This window comes from Homo sapiens, chromosome 3 (genome assembly GCF_000001405.40).
Source record: "Homo sapiens chromosome 3, GRCh38.p14 Primary Assembly".
In the NCBI taxonomy this organism is placed as follows: Eukaryota; Metazoa; Chordata; class Mammalia; order Primates; family Hominidae; genus Homo; species Homo sapiens.
This window is the reverse complement of record NC_000003.12, coordinates 133,669,382-133,688,784: the sequence shown is the minus strand read 5'-3', so window position 1 is coordinate 133,688,784 and position 19,403 is coordinate 133,669,382. Positions and strand designations below refer to the sequence as shown.

The 19,403-nt window shown below is 42.4% G+C and overlaps 1 protein-coding gene across 1 annotated transcript in view, besides 3 other annotated features; it reads right to left on the bottom strand.

Moving 5' to 3' along the window:
• Nucleotides 1-19,403, bottom strand: part of TF (transferrin) — a 134,644-nt gene that overhangs the window by 107,857 nt on the left and 7,384 nt on the right. The window contains exon 2 of the mRNA NM_001354703.2: nt 421-593. The gene's annotated coding sequence lies outside the window, so the exon portion shown is untranslated. The remainder of the gene's footprint in view (nt 1-420; nt 594-19,403) is intronic.
• Nucleotides 13,646-14,176: an enhancer, noted in NCBI's record as "H3K4me1 hESC enhancer chr3:133393453-133393983 (GRCh37/hg19 assembly coordinates)". NCBI's record gives its function as "activates a minimal SCP1, AML or CMV promoter by ChIP-STARR-seq in naive H9 embryonic stem cells {active_cell/tissue: H9 hESC(naive)}" and the evidence as "EXISTENCE:reporter gene assay evidence [ECO:0000049][PMID:30033119]".
• Nucleotides 18,138-18,282: an enhancer, noted in NCBI's record as "145 bp enhancer 82 fragment used in the MPRA reporter construct; PK_construct_313". NCBI's record gives its function as "activates an SV40 promoter by MPRA in HepG2 cells {active_cell/tissue: HepG2}" and the evidence as "EXISTENCE:reporter gene assay evidence [ECO:0000049][PMID:23512712]".
• Nucleotides 18,203-18,216: a transcriptional cis regulatory region, noted in NCBI's record as "HNF1 motif; enhancer activity is reduced when this motif is scrambled". NCBI's record gives its function as "necessary for full MPRA enhancer 82 activity {active_cell/tissue: HepG2}" and the evidence as "EXISTENCE:site-directed mutagenesis evidence [ECO:0005528][PMID:23512712]".

Sequence of the window (19,403 nt, the reverse complement as noted above, 5' to 3'; positions counted from 1 at the left end):
TTTTTGTTTGTTTCTTCTATCTTATATGCGTTTTCTATCTTATTGCACTACCATAACTTCCAAAAACATTTAGTAATAATACTGACACTAGAGATTCTTGTTTATTTCTGAGTCTTTATAGATTCTCTTTCAATGTAATGCTAGCTTTGCTTGACATAGGTATTTTACTGAGATTGAATCCTTCTCTATTAGTTGTTTAATTATGATTAGGATTATGATTTTTGCTATCAATGAATGTTGAGCAGCTACATTTTTCTCTACCCACAGTCCTTGCATTTTCAGATCTTTGGCTTGTTTCTTTCTCCTCTAAAGCATGGTCTGGTTCCTGTGGGGAGAAAGCAATAAACAACAGCAAGTGCAGAAAAACAAAACGAAAGTATAGGCTTTCTTCCACTGTGTTTTAGGCAGCAGTGACTTAACTGTGATGGCTTTAATGTACTCAAGGGAAGACGCTCTCTCCACGCAGGTGACAAGGGGACCATCTGCTGGAAACACTTTTTTCATATTGTCTCGGAAACTGGTGCACTTCGTGGCCTCGTGATCTGACATGGCACACCATCTTCCAGTTTTCTCAGGAGCAGCCAGGCACAGCCCTAGGAGAGAGAGGCCAGAGGTGTAAGGGACCCACAGCACTCACTCTTCTGTGCTGGCAGAAGAGGTTAAAGACAAGATAAACGGTCAGCTGAGAAGGGTACACACAAATTCCATAGGCTGCCTGGCTCACATGAATTCTCTGGCCCATTTCTTTGATTCTACCCCACCCCTCAGCTAAAAAAGCCAAAAGATTCCACCAAAAGTTAAACACAGAATTAGCATATAGTACAGCAATTTCACTTTTAGGTATATATCCAAAAGAATTGACAACAGGGATTCAAAGAAACACATGCACACGAATGTTCACAGCAGCACTATTCACAATAGCTGAACAGTGGAAACAGCCCAAATGTGCATCAACAGATGAATGCATGAACAAAATGGGGAATAGCCAGATGATGGAATATTATTCCGTCATGAAAAGAATGAAGTACTGCTACATGCTGCAGTGTAAATGAACCTCGAAAACTCCAACTTGAGTGAAAGGAGCCAGACACAAAAGGCTACCCATGATATGATTCCATTTATATGAATATCTAGACTAGGTACATCTATAGAGACAGGAAGGATATTAATTGGTGGTTGCCATGTGGTAGGGGGTGACGAAAATGGGTACTGACTGTTTAATGGGTATGTGGTTTTCTTTTAGGGTGGTGAAAATGTTTTGGAACTAGATAGAGATGATGGTTGTACAACATTTCCAATGCCCTAAATACCACTGATTTGTACACTTTTGAATGGTTAAATTGTGTTATGTGAATCTCATCTCAAAAAGGAAGAAAAAAAGAAAGCTTCCTACCCTCGTAGGTAGGGCCTAGTGATTTAGTCAGTATCTTTTTTTTTTAAATTATACTTTAAGTTGTAGGGTACATGTGCACAACGTGCAGGTTTGTTACATATGTATACATGTGCCATGTTGGTGTGCTGCACCAACTAACTCATCATTTACATTAGGTATATCTCCTAATGCTATCCCTCTCCCCTCCCCCCACTCCAAAACAGGCCTCAATGTGTGATGTTTCCCATCCTGTGTCCAAGTGTTCTCATTGTTCAATTCCCACCTATGAGTGAGAACATGTGGTGTTTGGTTTTCCGTCCTTGCGATAGTTTGCTCAGAATGATGGTTTCCAGCTTCAACCATGTCCCTACAAAGGACACAAACTCATCCTCTTTTATGGCTGCATAGTATTCCATGGTGTATATGTGCCACATTTTCTTAATCCAGTCTATTGTTGATGGACATTTGGGTTGGTTTCAAGTCTTTGCTATTGTGAATAGTGCCACAATAAACATAGGTGTGCATGTGTCTTTATAGCAGCATGATTTACAGTCCTTTGGGTATATACCCAGTAATGGGATGGTTGGGTAAAATGGTACTTCTAGTTCTATATCCTTGAGGAATTGCCACACTGTCTTCCACAATGGCTGAACTGACACTCCCACCAACAGTGTAAAAGCATTCCTATTTTTCCACATCCTCTCCAGCACCTGTTGTTTCCTGACTTTTTAATGATCGCCATTCTAACTGGTGTGAGATGGTATCTCATTGTGGTTTTGATTTGCATTTCTCTGATGGCCAGTGATGACAAGCATTTTTTCATGTGTCTGTTGGCTGCATGAATGTCTTCTTTTGAGACGTGTCTGTTCATATCCTCTGCCCACATTTTGATGGGGTTGTTTGATTTTTTCTTGTAAATTTGTTTAACTTCTTTGTAGAATCTGGATATTAGCCCTTTGTCAGATGGGTAGATTGCAAAAATTTTCTCCCATTCTGTAGGCTGCCTGTTCACTCTGATGGTAGTTTCTTTTGCTGTGCAGAAGTTCTTTAGTTTAATTAGATCCCATTTGTCAATGTTGGCTTTTGTTACCATTGCTTTTGGTGTTTTAGACATGAAGTCCTTGCCCATGCCTATGTCCTGAATGGTATTGCCTAGGTTTTCTTCTAGGGTTTTTATGGTTTTAGGTCTAACATTTAAGTCTTTAATCCATCTCGAATTAATGTTTTTATAAGGTGTAAGGAAGGGATCCAGTTTCAGCTTTCTACATATGGCTACCCAGTTTTCGCAGCACCATTTATTAAACAGGGAATCCTTTCCCCATTTCTTGTTTTTGTCAGGTTTGTCAAAGATCAGATGGTTGTAGATGTGTGGTATTATTTCTGAGGACTCTGTTCTCTTCCATTGGTCTATATCTCTCTTTTGGTACCAGTACCATGCTGTTTTGGTTACTGTAGCCATGTAGTATAGTTTGAAGTCAGGTAGCGTGATGCCTCCAGCTTTGTTCTTTTCGCTTAGGATTGTCTTGGCAATATGGGCTTTTTTGGTTCCATATGAACTTTAAAGTAGTTTTTTCCAATTCTGTGAAGCAAGTCATTAGTAGCTTGATGGGGATAGCATTGAATCTATAAATTACCTTGGGCAGTATGGCCATTTTCACGAAATTGATTCTTCCTATCCAAGAGCAATGAATGTTCTTCCATTTGTTTGTGTCCTCTTTTATTTCATTGAGTAGTGGTTTGTAGTTCTTGAAGAGGTCCTTCACATCCCTTGTAAGTTGGGTTCCTAGGTATTTTATTCTCTTTGAAGCAATTGTGAATGGGAGTTCACTCATGATTTGGCTCTCTGTTTGTCTGTTATTGGTGTATAGGAATGCTTGTGATTTTTGCACATTGATTTTGTATCCTGAGACTTTGCTGAAGTTGCTTATCAGCTTAAGGAGATTTTGGGCTGAGACGATGGGGTTTTCTAAATATACAATCATATCATCTGCCCACAGGGAGAATTTGACTTCCTCTTTTCCTAATCGAATACCCTTTGTTTCTTTCTCCTGCCTGATTGCCCTGTCCAGAACTTCCAACACTATGTTGAATAGGAGTGGTGAGAGGGCATCCCTGTCTTGTGCCAGTTTTCAAAGGGAATACTTCTAGTTTTTGCCCATTCAGTATGATATTGGCTGTGGGTTTGTCACAGATAGCTCTTATTATTTTGAGATACGTCCCATTAATACCTAATTTATTGAGAGTTTTTAGCATGAAGGGCTGTTGAATTTTGTCAAAGGCCTTTTCTGCATCTATTGAGATAATCATGTGGTTTTTGCCTTTGGTTCTGTTTATATGATGGATTAGTTTATTGATTTGCATACGTTGAACCAGCCTTGCATCCCAGGGATGAAGCCCACCTGATCCTGGTGGATAAGCTTTTTGATGTGCTGCTGGATTTGGTTTGCCAGTATTTTACTGAGGATTTTTGCATCGATGTTCATCAGGGATATTGGTCTAAAATTCTCTTTTTTTGTTGTGTCTTTTCCAGGCTTTGGTATCAGGATGATGCTGGCCTCATAAAATAAGTTACAGAGGACTCCCTGTTTTTCTATTGATTGGAATAGTTACAGAAGGAATGGTACCAGCTCCTCTTCGTACCTCTGGTAGAATTTGGCTGTGAATCCGTCTGGTCCTGGACTTTTTTTGGTTGGTAGGCTATTAATTATTGCCTCAATTTCAGAGCCTGTTATTGGTCTATTCAGGGATTCAACTTCTTCCTGGTTTAGTCTTGGGAGGGGGTATGTGTCCAGGAATTTATCCATTTCTTCTAGATTTTCTAGTTTATTTGTTTAGAGGTATTTATAGTATTCTCTGATGGTAGTTTGTATTTCTGTGGGATTGGTGGTGATATCCCCTTTATCATTTTTTATTACATCTATTTGATTCTTCTCTCTTTTTTTCTTTATTAGTCTTGCTAGTGGTCTATCAATTTTGTTGAACTTTTCAAAAAACCAGCTCCTGGATTCATTGATTTTTTGAAGGGTTTTTTTGTGTCTCTATCTCCTTCAGTTCTGCTCTGATCTTAGTTATTTCTTGCCTTCTGCTAGCTTTTGAATGCGTTTGCTCTTGCTTCTCTAGTTCTTTTAATTGTGATGTTAGGGTGTCAATTTTAGAGCTTTCCTGCCTTCTCTTGTGGGCATTTCGTGCTACAAATTTCCCTCTACACACTGCTTTAAATGGGTCCCAGAGATTCTGATATATTGTGTCTTTGTTCTCATTGGTTTCAAAGAACATCTTTATTTCTGCCTTCATTTCATTATGTACCCAGTAGTCATTCAGGAGCAGGTTGTTCTGTTTCCATGTAGTTGAGCAGTTTTGAGTGAGTTTCTTAATCCTGAGTTCTAGTTTGATTGCACTGTGGTCTGAGAGATAGTTTGTTATAATCTCTGTTCTTTTACATTTGCTGAGTAGAGCTTTACTTCCAACTATGTGGTCAATTTTGGAATAAGAGCGATGTGGTGCTGAGAAGAATGTATATTCTGTTGATTTGGGGTGGAGAGTTCTGTAGATGTCTATTAGGTCTGCTTGGTGCAGAGCTGAGTTCAAGTCCTGGATATCCTTGTTAACTTTCTGTCTCGTTGATCTGTCTAATGTTGACAGGGGGGTGTTAAAGTCTCCCATTATTATTGTGTGGGAGTCTAAGTCTCTTTGTAGGTCTCTAAGGATTTGCTTTACGAATCTGGGTGCTCCTGTATTGGGTGTGTATATATTTAGGATAGTTAGCTCTTCTTGTTAAATTGATCCCTTTACCATTATGTAACGGCCTTCTTTGTCTCTTCTGATCTTTGTTGGTTTAAAGTCTGTTTTATCAGAGACTAGGATTGCAACCACTGCTTTTTTTTTGTTTCCCATTTGCTTGGTAGATCTTCCTCCAGCCCTTTATTTTAAGCCTATGTGTGTCTCTGCATGTGAGATGGGTCTTCTGAATACAGCACACTGATGGGTCTTGACTCATCCAATTTGCCAGTCTGTGTCTTTTAATTGGAGCATTTAGCCCATTTACATTTAAGGTTCATATTGTTATGTGTGAATTTGATCCTGTCATTATGATGTTAGCTGGTTATTTTGCTCGTTAGTTGATGCAGTTTCTTCCTAGCTTTGATGGTCTTTACAATTTGGCATGTTTTTGCAGTGGCTGGTACCGGTTTTTCCTTTCCATGTTTAGTGCTTCCTTCAGGAGCTCTTGTAAGGCAGGCCTGATGTTGACAAAAGCTCTCAGCATTTGCTTGTCTGTAAAGGATTTTATTTCTCCTTCACTTAGGAACCTTAGTTTGGCTGGATATGAAATTCTGGGTTGAAAATTCTTTTCTTTAAAAATGTTGAATATTGGCCCCCACTCTCTTTTGGCTTGTAGAGTTTCTGCCGCGAGATCAGCTGTTAGCCTGATGAGCTTCCCTTTGTGGGTAACCCAACCTTTCTCTCTGGCTGCCCTCAACATTTTTTCCCTCATTTCAACTTGAATCTGACAATTATGTGTCTTGGAGATGCTTTTCTTGAGGAGTATCTTTGTGGCATTCTCTGTATTTCCTGAATTTGAATGTTGGCCTGCCTTGCTAGGTTGGGGAAGTTCTCCTGAATAATATCCTGAAGAGTGTTTTCCAACTTGGTTCCACTCCCCGTCACTTTCAGGTACACCAATCAGACGTAGATTTTGTCTTTTCACATAGTCCCATATTTCTTGGAGGCTTTGTTCGTTTCTTTTTACTCTTTTTTCTCTAAACTTCTGTTCTCACTTCATTTCATTCATTTGATCTTCAATCACTGATACTCTTTCTTCCACTTGATCGAATTGGCTACTGAAGCTTGTGCATGCGTCACGTAGTTCTCGTGCCATGGTTTTCAGCTCCATCAGGTCATTTAAGGTCTTCTCTATGCTGTTTATTCTAGTTAGCCATTCATCTAACCTTTTTTCAAGGTTTTTAGCTTCTTTGCAATGGGTTTGAACATCCTTCTTTAGCTCGGAGAAGTTTATTATTACCGATTGTCTGAAGCCTTCTTCTCTCAACTCGTCAAAGTCATTCTCTGTCCAGCTTTATTCCGTTGCTGGTGGGGAGCTGCATTCCTTTGGAGGAGAAAGGGTGCTCTGATTTTTAGAATTTTCAGCTTTTCTGCTCTGGTTTCTCTCCATCTTTGTGGTTTTATCTACCTTTGGTCTTTGATGATGGTGACGTACAGATGGGGTTTTGGTGTTGATGTCTTTTCTGTTTGGTAATTTTCCTTCTAACAGTCAGGACCCTCAGCTGCAGGTCCATTGGAGTTTGCTGGAGGTCCACTCCAGACCCTGTTTGCCTGGGTATCACCAATGGAGCCTGCAGAACAGCAAATATTGCAGAACGGCAAATGTTGCTGCCTGATCATTCCTCTGGAAGCTTCGTCTCAGATGGGCACCTGGCCATATGAGGTGTCAGTCAGCCCCTACTGGGAGGTGCCTCCCAGTTAGGCTACTCGGGGGTCAGGGACCCACTTGAGGAGGCAGTCTGTCCATTCTCAGATCTCAAACTCCATGCTGGGAGAACCACTACTCTCTTCAAAGCTGTCAGACAGGGATGTTTAAGTCTGCAGAAGTTTCTTTTGTCTTTTGTTCAGCTGTGCCCTGCCCCCAGAGGTGGAGTCTACAGAGGCAGGCAGGCCTCCTTGAGCTGCAGTGGGCTTCACCCAGTTCGAGCTTCTGGGCCACTTTGTTTACCTACTCAAGCCTCAGCAATGAGGGGCGCCCCTCCCCCAGCCTCACTGCTGCCTTGCAGTTCAATCTCAGACTGTTGTGCTAGCAATGAGCGAGGCTCCATGGGTGTAGGACCCTCTGAGCCATGTGTGGGATATAATCTCCTGGTGTGCCGTTTGCTAAGACCTTTGGAAAAGCTCAGTATTAGGGTGGGAGTGACCCGATTTTCCAGGTGCCGTCTGTCACGGCTTCCCTTGGCTAGGAAAAGGAATTCCCCAACCCCTTGCACTTCCCAGGTGAGGTGATGTCTCACCCTGCTTCGGGTCATGCTCCGTGGGCTGCACCGACTGTCCTGCACCCACTGTCCAACAAGACCCAGTGAGATGAACCTGGTACCTCAGTTGGAAATGCAGAAATCACCTGTCTTCTGCGTAGCTCACGCTGGGAGCTGTAGACTGGAGCTGTTCCTATTTGGCCATCTTGGAACCTCAGATCCTAGTCAGTATCTTAACTTCGGTGACTCAAAGCTTACATGGTACTAATTGTGGGGGCATTAAAATCAGTGACTTTAGTTCACTGGCATTGGAAGCTGCAATAATTAGTGTAGAGAGCACTAGAAAGGCAAAATGCTGTTTACAAATCTGTAGTATTTAGGCAAAACGTTATTTAAATGAACTCTAGAAGGTGAAGTTTACAATAATAACAGCTACCATTTTTGGCTGAGCCCCCATATGTCAGGCAGTGTGCCAAGCACGTTTCTTTCCTCTAATTTTCACAGTTATTATCATACCCTGTTTTAGAGATGAGATTTTTTAAAAAAACTGTCAGGGAATTAAATAACTGGAGTTCAGCTTAATATTTGAACCATCTGGGTCTGTTTGACTCCGAAACCTATACTGCCTTTTAACTGTCTATAGGTAGGAAATATTAAAAGAAATAGTACAGAAGATGCCAAATTACCTTACACAGAATCCCATGCCAGTGATGAAAGGGACAAATAGAGCCCTTCAAATTTACTTGAAAACATCTTCAGTAGTAGCAAGACAGGGTAAGAAGCACAACCAAGGGAGTAGAATTATGCAGGCCATGTGCCTTTGTGTGGAATGTCAAGATAAGGCCTTTTTTAGAAGTCAGCATTTTCAGTCACCACTGTACTTATGTCAAAAAAAAAAAAAGAAAAGAAAAGAAATAAAAGGTGGAGAGTAGCTGGATGCCATACTGTGTGCCTACAATCCCAGCTGCTAGGGAGGTTGAGGCTGAAGGATTGTTTGAGCCCAGGGAGTCTGAGACCAGCCTGGGCAACATAGTGAGACTTGTCTCTACAAAAAATACAAAATTAGTTAGGTGTGGTGGCATGTGCCTGTAGTTCCAACTACTCAGGAGGCTGAGGTGGGAGGATCTCTTGAGTCCAGGAGGTCGAGACTGCAGTGAGCCATGATTGTGCCACTGCTCTCCAGCCTGGGCAACAGAGGGAGAACCTATAACTCCAAAAAAGAAAGAAAAAAAAGAAAAAGAAAAAAAAGTGTGAGTAAAAGCCAGGAAGCCTCCCATCATTTAAAAAAAATGGAGAAAAATTTCACATAGAAACATCATAAAAGACTATATATGGATACAGGAATGGCCAATAAGAACATGAAAGATCCTCACATCATGAGTCCCCAGAGAAATGTAATTAAAATCACATAGAGATTGATTTCACTACATACCTATTAGAATGCATACCTATTAGAATGGCTAACTGTGAAAAGACTGACACCACCAAGCACTGGCAGGACATGGTGCAGCTGAAATTCTTATATGCTGCTGGTGGGAATGTAAAATGGCACAACTACTCAAAGTCAAGTTGAACATACACTTACCAGTATGACCCAGTAATTCTAGATATTTAACCAAAAGAAATGAAAATACATGTCCTCCCAAAGACTTGTCCACTAATGTTCATGCAGCTTTATTCATAATAGCCCCAAATGGGAGACAATCTAAACATCCATCAACAAGTGAATGGGTGAATAAGCTGTGGTAAAGCCATTCAATAGAGTACTACCCAATAATAAAAAGCAATGAAGCATGCTACACACAAGAACATGGATGAATCTCAATACAATTATGCTGAGTAAAAAAAAAAAAAAAAAAAAAAAAGCCAAACAAAGCACAATATACTGTATGATTCCACTTAGGTGAAATCCTAGAAAAGACGAAACTTATCTATAGTGGCAGAAAGTAGGAATGACTGGGGGCATTTTGCGGGTGATGAAAATGTCATTTATCTTGGTGATAATTACGTGGATAGTTATATTTGCGAAGATTCACTGAACTATATGTATACTTTAACTGAGTGCATAGTATTATACTACAGGTAAATCATACATCAATAAAAATGACTTAAAGGCCAGGTGCAGTGGCTACCACCTATAATCCCAACACTTTGGGAGGCTGAGGCAGAAGAATCACTTCAGCCCAGGAGTTTGAGACTAGCCTGGGCAAGATGGTGAGACTCCATCTCTATAAAAATTTAAAAAATTAAAAGTTAGCTGGGCTGGCCGGGTGTGGTGGCTCATGTCTGTAATCCCAACACTTTGGGAGGCTGAGGCGGGTGGATCATGAGGTCAGGAGATCGAGACCAGCCTGACCAACATGGTGAAACCCCATCTCTACTAAAAACACAAAAATTAGCCAGGTGTGGTGGTGCCCACCTGTAATCCCAGCTACTCAGGAGGCTGAAGCAGGAGAATCGCTTGAACCCGGGAGGTGGAGGTTGCAGTGAGCCAAGATCATGTCACTGCACTCCAGCCTGGGTAACAGAGTGAGATTTCATCTCAAAACAAAACAAAACAAAACAAAACAAAACAAAACAAAAAATAGCTGGGCCAAAGGAAACTATCATCAGAGTGAACAGGCAACCTACAGAATAGGAGAAAATTTTTGCAACCTATCCATCTGACAAAGGGCTAATATCCAGAATCTACAAGGAACTTAAACAAATTTACAAGAAAAAGCAAACAACCCCATCAAAAAGTGGGCAAAGGATATGAACAGACACTTCTTAAAAGAAGACATTTATGCGGCCAACAAACTTAAGAAAAAAAGCTCAACATCACTGGTCATTAGAGAAATGCAAATCAAAACCACAACGAGATACCACCTCACGCCAGTTAGAACGGCAATAATTAAAAAGTCAGGAAACAACAGATGCTGGAGAGGATGTGGAAAAATAGGAATGCTTTTACACTGTTGGTGGGAGTGTCAGTTAGTTCAGCCATTGTGGAAGACAGTGTGGTGATTCCTCAAGGTTCTAGAACCAGAAATACCATTTGACTCAGCAATCCCATTACTGGGTATATACCCAAAGGAATGTAAATCATTCTACTATAAAGACACATGCACACGTATATTTATTGCAGCACTATTCACAAGAGCAAAGACTAGGAACCAACCCAAATGCCCATCAATGATAGACTGGATTAAGAAAATGTGGCACATATATACCATGGAATACTATGCACCCATAAAAAAGGATGAGTTCATGTTCTTTGCAGGGACATAGATGAAGCTGGAAACCATCATTCTCAGCAAAATAACACAGGAACAGAAAACCAAATACCACATGTTCTCACTCATAAATGGGAGTTGAACAATGAGAATGCATGGACACAGGGAGGGGAAGAGCACACACCGGAGCCTGTTGGGAGGTGGGAGACTAGGGGAGGGATAGCATTAGGAGAAAAACCTAATGTAGATGACGGGTTGATGGGTGCAGCAAACCACCATGGCATGTGTATACCTATGTAACAAACCTGCATGTTCCGCACTTGTATCCCAGAACTTAAAGTATTATAATAAAAAAATTTTTTTTTTAAATTAGCTGGGCATGGTGATGCACACCTGTAGTCCCAGCTACTGAGGAGGGTGAGATAGGAGGATCGCTTGAGCCTAGGTGTTTGGGGTTGCAGTGAGCTATGATCACACCACTGCACTCCAGCCTAGGTGACAGAGACAGATCCTGTCTCTATAAAAAAGAAAAAAAAAGAAATGATTTTTGTTGTTGTGTTTTGTTTATTGTTTTTTGTTTTTGAGACAGAGTCTTGCTCTGTTGCCCAGGCTGGAGTGCAGTGGCGCAATCTTGACTCAACTGAAACCTCCGCCTCCCGGGTTCAAGCGATTCTCCTGCCTCAGCCTCCCGAGTAGCTGGGATCGCAGGCGCCCACCACCACGCCTGACTAATTTTTGTATTTTTAGTAGAGACACGGTTTCACCATCTTGGCCAGGCTGGTCTTGAACTCCTGACCTCGTGATCCACCCACCTCGGCTTCCCAAAGTGCGAGGATTGCAGGCGTGAGCCACCGTGCCCGGCCAATAAATGATTTTTAAAAGAAAGAGAAAGTGTGGGCAAGCAAGCTAAGCCAGAGTCAAGTAACCTAGACTAGGTCACTCACTAAAAGCACTGGCCATATGACAATTTAAAGCAGAGGTAATCAGAGCCCACTGTGAATATTTCAGACTGATCCTGAAACGGGAAAGCTGCTGATGCTCACCGAATAGAGAAAGTTCTTAAGCAAGGGCAAGAAGCTGAGAAAGGAGGTGGAGGCCAAGGTGGAGGTACAGGCTGTCTGAGCCCTTGGCTCCTGGCTCTTACAGGGCATACCAATAACTGCCCCCTTCCCTTTGGTCTTTTTTATTCAAGCTACTTTGCATTTTCTGTCATTTGCCACCAGAATAGTTCTTGTTTGACTAGAACACTGAGCTTTGAAGAAAGCGTATCCCAGACTCTGGCCTGGTCCAGCAGCCAAGAAGGAGGGAAGATGAATGAGGAGGCTGAAATGGGCAGCTCTTGTCTCTGGTTTATAAACACAGGGTGAATTGGGTAAATGAACTTTTGGTCAGAGCCTGACATTGCCAGGACGAGAGACAGAGGAAGAATAGCAGAAGCCCTACTCAAGAAGAATTTAGGAACGATCCCAGCGGGGCTGCACTCTGGGTTTCCTTGTGACTGCAGTTCAACTACAACTGTGCTCTGCCTTCCAGCCTTCCCTAGCCCCAGCAGAGCTCCCTGTGTGGCCCCACGTGGCCGTGCTGAGCCAGGGAGGGGCCACCACAGCATCCCCTTCCCTTCCTGCCTTCCTCTTGCTCTGCCCTTCACCCCTCACCCCACATAAGATACCCTACCCCAGAAATTATTTACAACAGCCTCAGACGTGACAGAACCAGGGCTGGACAGAACCAACAGTTGCTGAGCCAGGGAGGGCTCTTCACATGCATGAGTTCATTGACTTCGCATCACTCCCTTCCTCAAATCACCCCGCCAAGAGCCCTGGAGGAGCCCACCCTCGCAAAACAGGAAGGGGCCCCTTGCATTTATGTGCAGATTTTTACCGGTGTAACTCACCTGTGCCTAGAGCTCTGCATGCCACTAGATACAGTATCTCATTTTCACAGCAATTGTGTTTGTTGTGAAAACGCAATTATTAGTGAATGAAACCAGCTCAGAGATGTCAAGGGAGAGCTCAGAGTCACACAGCAGTGAGTGACAGGTGGATCTCATTCTATGGTGATAGTTTTTTCCCCTATATCTCTCTACCTCTCTGTTGTATGGTAAAAGTACTGGAAGCACTGTCCAGTTTGAGGCGAGAAAAACCCTTCTGGTTAGATGTTAGGCACACCTGACATGTGTCCTGCCTGCTCCTCCCCCTCACTTAATAATAACCCTTAAGCCCCAGGGGGAAAAAATCCCTTCTCTCCTCTAACCCCATTTCTTTCACTGTAAACGAGATCAACAGCCTCTAGTTCAGGGGTCATGAACTTATTCTGTCACGGGCTAAAGAGTAAATACTTTAGTCTCTGTGGCAACTCCTCAACTCTGACCTTGAAGCCTGTGAAAGTTGATCATACAGAAGTGGGTTATTTTTGTCATACCCAACTAAAACACAGTGAGAAGTCAGGGGCAAAAAAGCACTCAGGGCACATAGCACTGCTCCACATGTGAAATTCTTCGCAAGCCTGGCTGCTGAAACTGCCTGTTGTAAACTGAGACCAGGTGTAGTTAACAGCTGCTGAAACCTGCTGTGACTCGAAGGCTAATTTTACCTGTTATAGTCCCTCACTAGTCAGGATCTGCCAGTTCCCCAAAATTTTACTTTTGCCAATGAACTTTCTAGAAGAACATTTCTCCTTTCTATGAAACCTCCAATCTTCTCTTTGTCCTTTGGACATATAGAAGACCACCCAGTCTGTGTGTATGCTCAGAATTTCAATTCTTGCTTCCCAAATAAAATGTTTTAAACTTAGGGATATTTGACTTGGACAAGCCTGAAAGCTGTCATATAGACAATATTTAACCGAATGATCATGATTGCATTCTAATAAAATTTTATTTATGGACACTGAAATTTGAATTTTATATAATTTTCATGTCACATATATTGCTCTTTTGATTTCCCCCTCAATCTTTTTTTTTTTTTTTTTTTTTTTTGACAGAGTCTCACTCTGTCGGCCAGGCTGGAATGCAGTGGCGTGATCTCGGCTCACTGCAACCTCCCTCTCCTGGGTTCAAGAGATTCTCATGCCTCAGCCTCCGGAGTAGCTGGGACTACAGTCTCCCGCCACCACACCCGGCTAATTTTTGTATTTTTAGTAGAGACGGGGTTTCATCATGTTGGCCAGGCTGGTGTGGAACTCCTGACATCAGGTGATACACCGCCTCGGCCTCCCAAAGTGTCGGGATTACAGACCTGAGCCACCGCGTCTGGCCTTTCCCTTTCAACCATTTAAAGATGTGAAAAGCATTCTCTCATCTGGGTGTATACAACATCAAGCCGCAGACAGGATTTGGCCAGCTAGTCATAGTCTGCAATCCTCTCCCTAGTCAATGGGGTTTCTGCGAGGACCTAAGTGTCAGGTGCGCCGGCGTGGAGAAAGCACTTTCAGGGGTGCATCGCAGCCCCGCAGGCCCGCTGACTGTCCGGTTGTCGCGCAGGGTCCCGCTGTGACCGACCCGCTGCTTGCACCCAGTGCCTCCCCGGAGCACCTTGCAGCGCCGGCCCCCACCTCGACTCCCAGCGCTCACTTACTCAGGGCCCCGGCGCACAGCAGGGCGCAGATAGCGAGCCTCATTCTCCGTGGCTGGCGCGCGTCACCCACCCCACTCTCGCGCCTCGTCCGGCTTTACCCCGCCGGAGCAAGCAGCGCCTCTTGGGAAAGGTTCGCCCACCAGGGCTGATAGCCCTCGCCACTCCTCGCACTCCTCCCTTGGGGCAGCCAGCGAGCAGCTTGTGCCCTCCGTGGGACCGGAGGGCTGCAAGATGCAAGCCTCTCTCCCGCCCCCTTCCCAGCCCCGGGGTCTGCAAGGCTGCACTTCGGGGAAGGGGGCAGCACCCCGGAGCCTGAGCAGCTTCGGAGCGCACTAGTCTGGCCGCTTTACAACCCAGAGAGAGATCCGCGGGGGTTCCCAGGTGAGTTGCTATACGCAGGTTTCTGACCCCTGGACCCTCATCTAGCCCAGCAGCTCCTAAACGTCTCAAAAATACAAAAGCTTAGGGATTCGGGGGCTGTCCATAGGGTGAAAACCGTGGGCTCTTCCCCTGGAAAGCACGCGCTCTCATATACCCAACGTTTTGAACACAATTCTCAAGGATTCTCAGATTCTTCCTCCCAAATGGGTCTCCATCGAGAGAATGGACCACTCCTGGGTCCTCTCGGAAACTCTACCCAAATGACACTGTCCCCAGCAGCCCTCTGCTCCGGGAGGCCAAGGTCAGGTGAAGCGCTGAACCCAGAGAGGGCGGCCTCTCCTCGCCCCTGCAGCCCGATCCTGCTCAGGTCTGTGACTTCTGCCTGGGGAAAATCTGAATTTAAATACAATTTTAAGAACTTTTAATTAAAGTATAATAAATATGCATAGAACGTCACATGTTCTAAATAAATGTACGGCTTAATTATCATCAAATGAACACACCCACATAACCAGCACCCACATCAAGAAACAAAACGTTAACAAACAAAGCTGGCACAACCCCCTCCCACAAAGGTACCCATTATCTTGACTTCTAACACATAGACTAATTCTGCTGATTTTTGAGCTTTATGCAGATGGAATCATACCATACGTACAATTCTGTGTTTGACCTCTTTCACTGGAGATGCTATGTGTGAGATTCACCTATGTTGTTTATAGTTGCCCTTTATTCATTATCAGCGTTGCACATTCTACACTGTGTATGCAGCACATTTTATCTTTCCTCTTGATCGTTGTAGTCTTCAGTGGGCTCTTAAGGATAGTGCTGCTGTGGATATAATTTTAACTGTATTTTCTATCTGTTGCTGGTATCTGAAAAAAACAATTGGTTTTCGTATATTGACCTTGAATCCAGTGATCTTGCTGAGTTGTCTTATTAGTTGGAATTGCTTCCTTCCTATGCACATCCTTATATCTTATATGAATAAGGTCAGTTTTGTTTTTTCCTTTCAGATCCTTAGGAATCTCTTTCCTCTTGACTTACTGCACTGGCTAGAACTCACATTACATTCTACTACATGTCTTTTCGTGCACTTAGGGATGCATCACTGCAGGGTTTCCCCATACATCATGAAGTAGATGTACGTTCAGCTTTAATAGTTACTGCCGAACTATTAATACAAAATTGAGTAGAAGGGTGATAGGGAAAGTTTTCAATAATTCTCCATTATGCAAAATTTTTGCTGGTGTTTTGTTTTGTTTTAAATATTATTAACCATATTAAGGAACTTTCCTTCCTTCCTGGGTTGCCTAAATTTTTTAAAAATCATGAATGGGTATTGCATTTTGTCAAGTATTTTTTCTGCACCTAAGATACTCATATGATTCCCTTTTCTTTTATATTAATGTGGTAAACTTCTCTTATTCTCTTTTTTCTTTCTTTTTCTTTCTCTTTCTCTCTTCTTTCCTTTTTCTGTCCCCCTCCCCTTCCCTCCCCTCCCCTTCCTTTCCCTCCCCTTCCCCTCCCTTCCCTCTTGCTTGGGTCCTGCTCTATTGCCCAGGCTGGAGTGCAGCTGTGGGATCATAGTTCAGTGAAGGCTCCACCTCCTAGGCTCAAGTGATCCTCCCTCCTCAGCCTCCCAAGTAGCTGGGGCTACAGCAGTGCACCACCACGCTGGACTCCTTTAATTGATTTTTAAATGTTGAACTACTCTTACATTCCTGGAATAAACCCCACTTGGCTATTACGTATAACATTTTTTTACATATTGCTGAACTTGATTACTTTTTTTTTTTTTTTTAGGATTTTTTGCATTTGTGTTCGTGAGAGAAATCATTCTGCAGGTTTCTTTATCTTAATGTCACTAAAAGTTTGGTTGCAAGGTTTTAATTGCTCATAAAATTAATTGGAATATGTTACTTCTTTTCTTATTCTCTGGAAGATACTGTGTAAGAATAGCATTCTTTCTTTCTTAAATGTTCGGAAGGCCTCACCAGTGAAGCCACCTGTGTTTAGAGTTTTACTTGTGGAAAAGTTTTTGATAACAGATTGAGTTTCTTAAATAGCTAGAGAAATATCCAGATTTTATGATCCTTCAAGTTTCAATATTGGTAAGTTTTTTGTTAAAGAAATTTGTCCATTTTATCTAATTTTCAAATTTATTGATATAAAATCATTCATGATCTTATCCTTTGACATTTTTAGTATATGGTATTTAGTATTTTCATTGCTGATATTAGTGATTTATGTTTACTACTTTCCTTGATTAGTATTGCCAGGATTTTACCTATTTCATTAATCTTTTCAGAGAATCAACCTTGGCTTTGCTGTTTTTCTCTATTGTACATTCATTTATTGTTTCATTGATTTCTGCTCTGTTGACTTTGAATTTTGGTCTTTCTCTAGCTTCTTTATTCTTTCTTTCCTTCTTCTCCTTTTTCTTCTTCTTCTTTTTTTTTTTTTTTCTTTTGACAGAGTCTCACTCTATCGCCCAGGCTGGAGTGAAGTGGCAAGATTGCGGCTCATTGTAACCTCCGCCTCCTGGGTTCAAGTGATTCTCCTGGCTCAGCCTCCTGAGTAGCTGGGATTACAGGCATTAGACAGAGCACCCGGGTAATTTTTATTTATTTTTATTTTTTAGTGGAGATGGAGTTTCACCATATTGTTCAGGCCAGTCTCGAACTCCTGGCCTCAAGTGATCTGCCTGCCTTGGCCTCCCAAAGTGCTGAGATTACAGCTGTGAGCCACCATGCCTGGCCTCTCTTGCCTTTTTTTTTCTTTTAAGGCAGTTAAGGTCACTGATTTTTCAGCCTCTCTTCTCTATTACATGTGATAAAGGCTATAAATTTGCCTATAAGTATTCCTTTTCTTGATATATTATAACTTCATGGTTATTCAGTTCAAAATATATTCTAATTTTATTGTGATTTCTTATTCAACTCATGGTTTATTGAGAAATGTATTGCTTGATTATCCAGGTGGGCCAATATCCTCACAAGGGTTCTTTAAATGTAGAAGCAGAGCCTCCAGAAAGGAACTCAGCCCTGCTGACATCTTGATTTAAGCCCAGTGAGATCCACTTCAGACTTCTGACCTCCAAAACTGTAAGATATTAAGTTTTGTTACAGTAGTAACAGGAACCTCATATACTTGATATATTTATTGGAGCCTCTTCAAGGTGTGGCATTATCTTTTTATCTCCCATTCCATGGAACTTCAAATTGTGCCAAGTATCTTAAGGAGAAAACTGGCCCTTTGTCAAGCTTAGTTCTCTGCTCCTCCCTTCTCAATGGGATCTTGCCTCCACTTCTGTTTTTCCAGCCCTGAGACTGCCATCAGTTCGGCTGGCTTCTCTGTAAGCCAGCAGTGACCCTCTGCTCAGGTAAAGCCAGATTCCCCCTGGCCATGTGCCGAGTGGTTCATCTTTAACTGTCCTGGCTCTCCCTTCACTTACTCATACATTTGAAAGGAAATAGGATCTATGAGCGCAGAGATCACTTTTTTCTTGTCCAACATTCTAACACAAGGTTGGAAAATACTGTCTGCTATAGTATTGGGCTCAAAAAATCAAACAGATCAATAAATGCACACAAATGTCTCAAAAGTGGGTTGAGCAATCTCCTATGCAGGCCTATGGACAAAAACCAAATAAAGTCCAGAGGTGATCATTCCTTCTAAGGTTAATTATTCACCTAAAACTAACACAGCCTAAATCCAATAGCAGCCACTGTGCCCCCGACCCTAGATTAGATCAAACTCTGAAAACTTCGTGTGTACTGGGACAAAGTGATATTGCAAAGATAGGACATCCAAAGTGCTAAAGTCATTTCTGTGCTTTGGTACAGGCTCTCATAAATAGCAAAGCAGAAGGTTAGATGCTTGTATGGTGGAAAACAGTTTTAAAACTTCACGGCAAAGATGGTCTTTGGAAAACTTGGGATTTATAGATTTATTAGTGTGTACCAGGCATTGTACTAAGTGCTTCCCAAATGTTAAATGATAGTAACCCCATAAGGCTATTGCCATCCTCTTTTTGTACAGAGAGACAGTGAAGCACAGAAAGGTTAACCAGTGACTTGCCCAAGGTCAGGTAGCTAGTAGGTGTCCAAGCTGGCATTCAAACTAGGCAGCCTGCTTCCATAGTCCATGCTGTTTCTCATGTGGCCTCTGACATTTGTCTCTGGAGCAATTTCACACTTTCCCCTTTCCAAGGCATCTTGAAGTAATAACGGCATGGGGCACCATGTTTGTTTAAACTGTTTCCAAGTTCAGAATTGGTTGGATTTAACTGTCCTGGCTCTCCCTTCACTTATTCATACATTTGAAAGGAAATAGGGTCTATGAGGGCAGAGATCAAATTTTCTTGCCCAACATTCTAATATAAGGTTGGAAAATAGTGTCTCACAAATAGCACTAACTGCTATAATAGCAAAGCTCCAAAATCTTAATGGTTTAACACAATAGGAGTTGACCTCTTAGTAACATAAAGCCCATCTGGCAGCAATCGTGGTGATTTGTTAGGGTGGGAGTGGGGAGTTCACTTTCATAGCTCCATTCAGTCATTCAGAGATCCAGGCTGAGAGAGGTTCTGCCATTTTCAACACATGGCTTCCAAGATTGCTCTGTGTGTTGATATTCAAATGACAGAATAAGGAAGAGCGTGGAAGGTAGTGCAAGAAATTTCCTTGGATCAAGCTCGGATGTGACAAACATCACTTCTACCTATATTCTATTGGCCATAACTCAGTCCCATGACCCCACCAATTGTAAAGAGGATGGGAACCATAGTCTCTGGCTAGGAAACTACTTCTCAGCAACAGCAAAACACTATGAAAGGGGAGCACATGTCTGGGGTCTTTTGTCTTAGTTTGAGCAGACC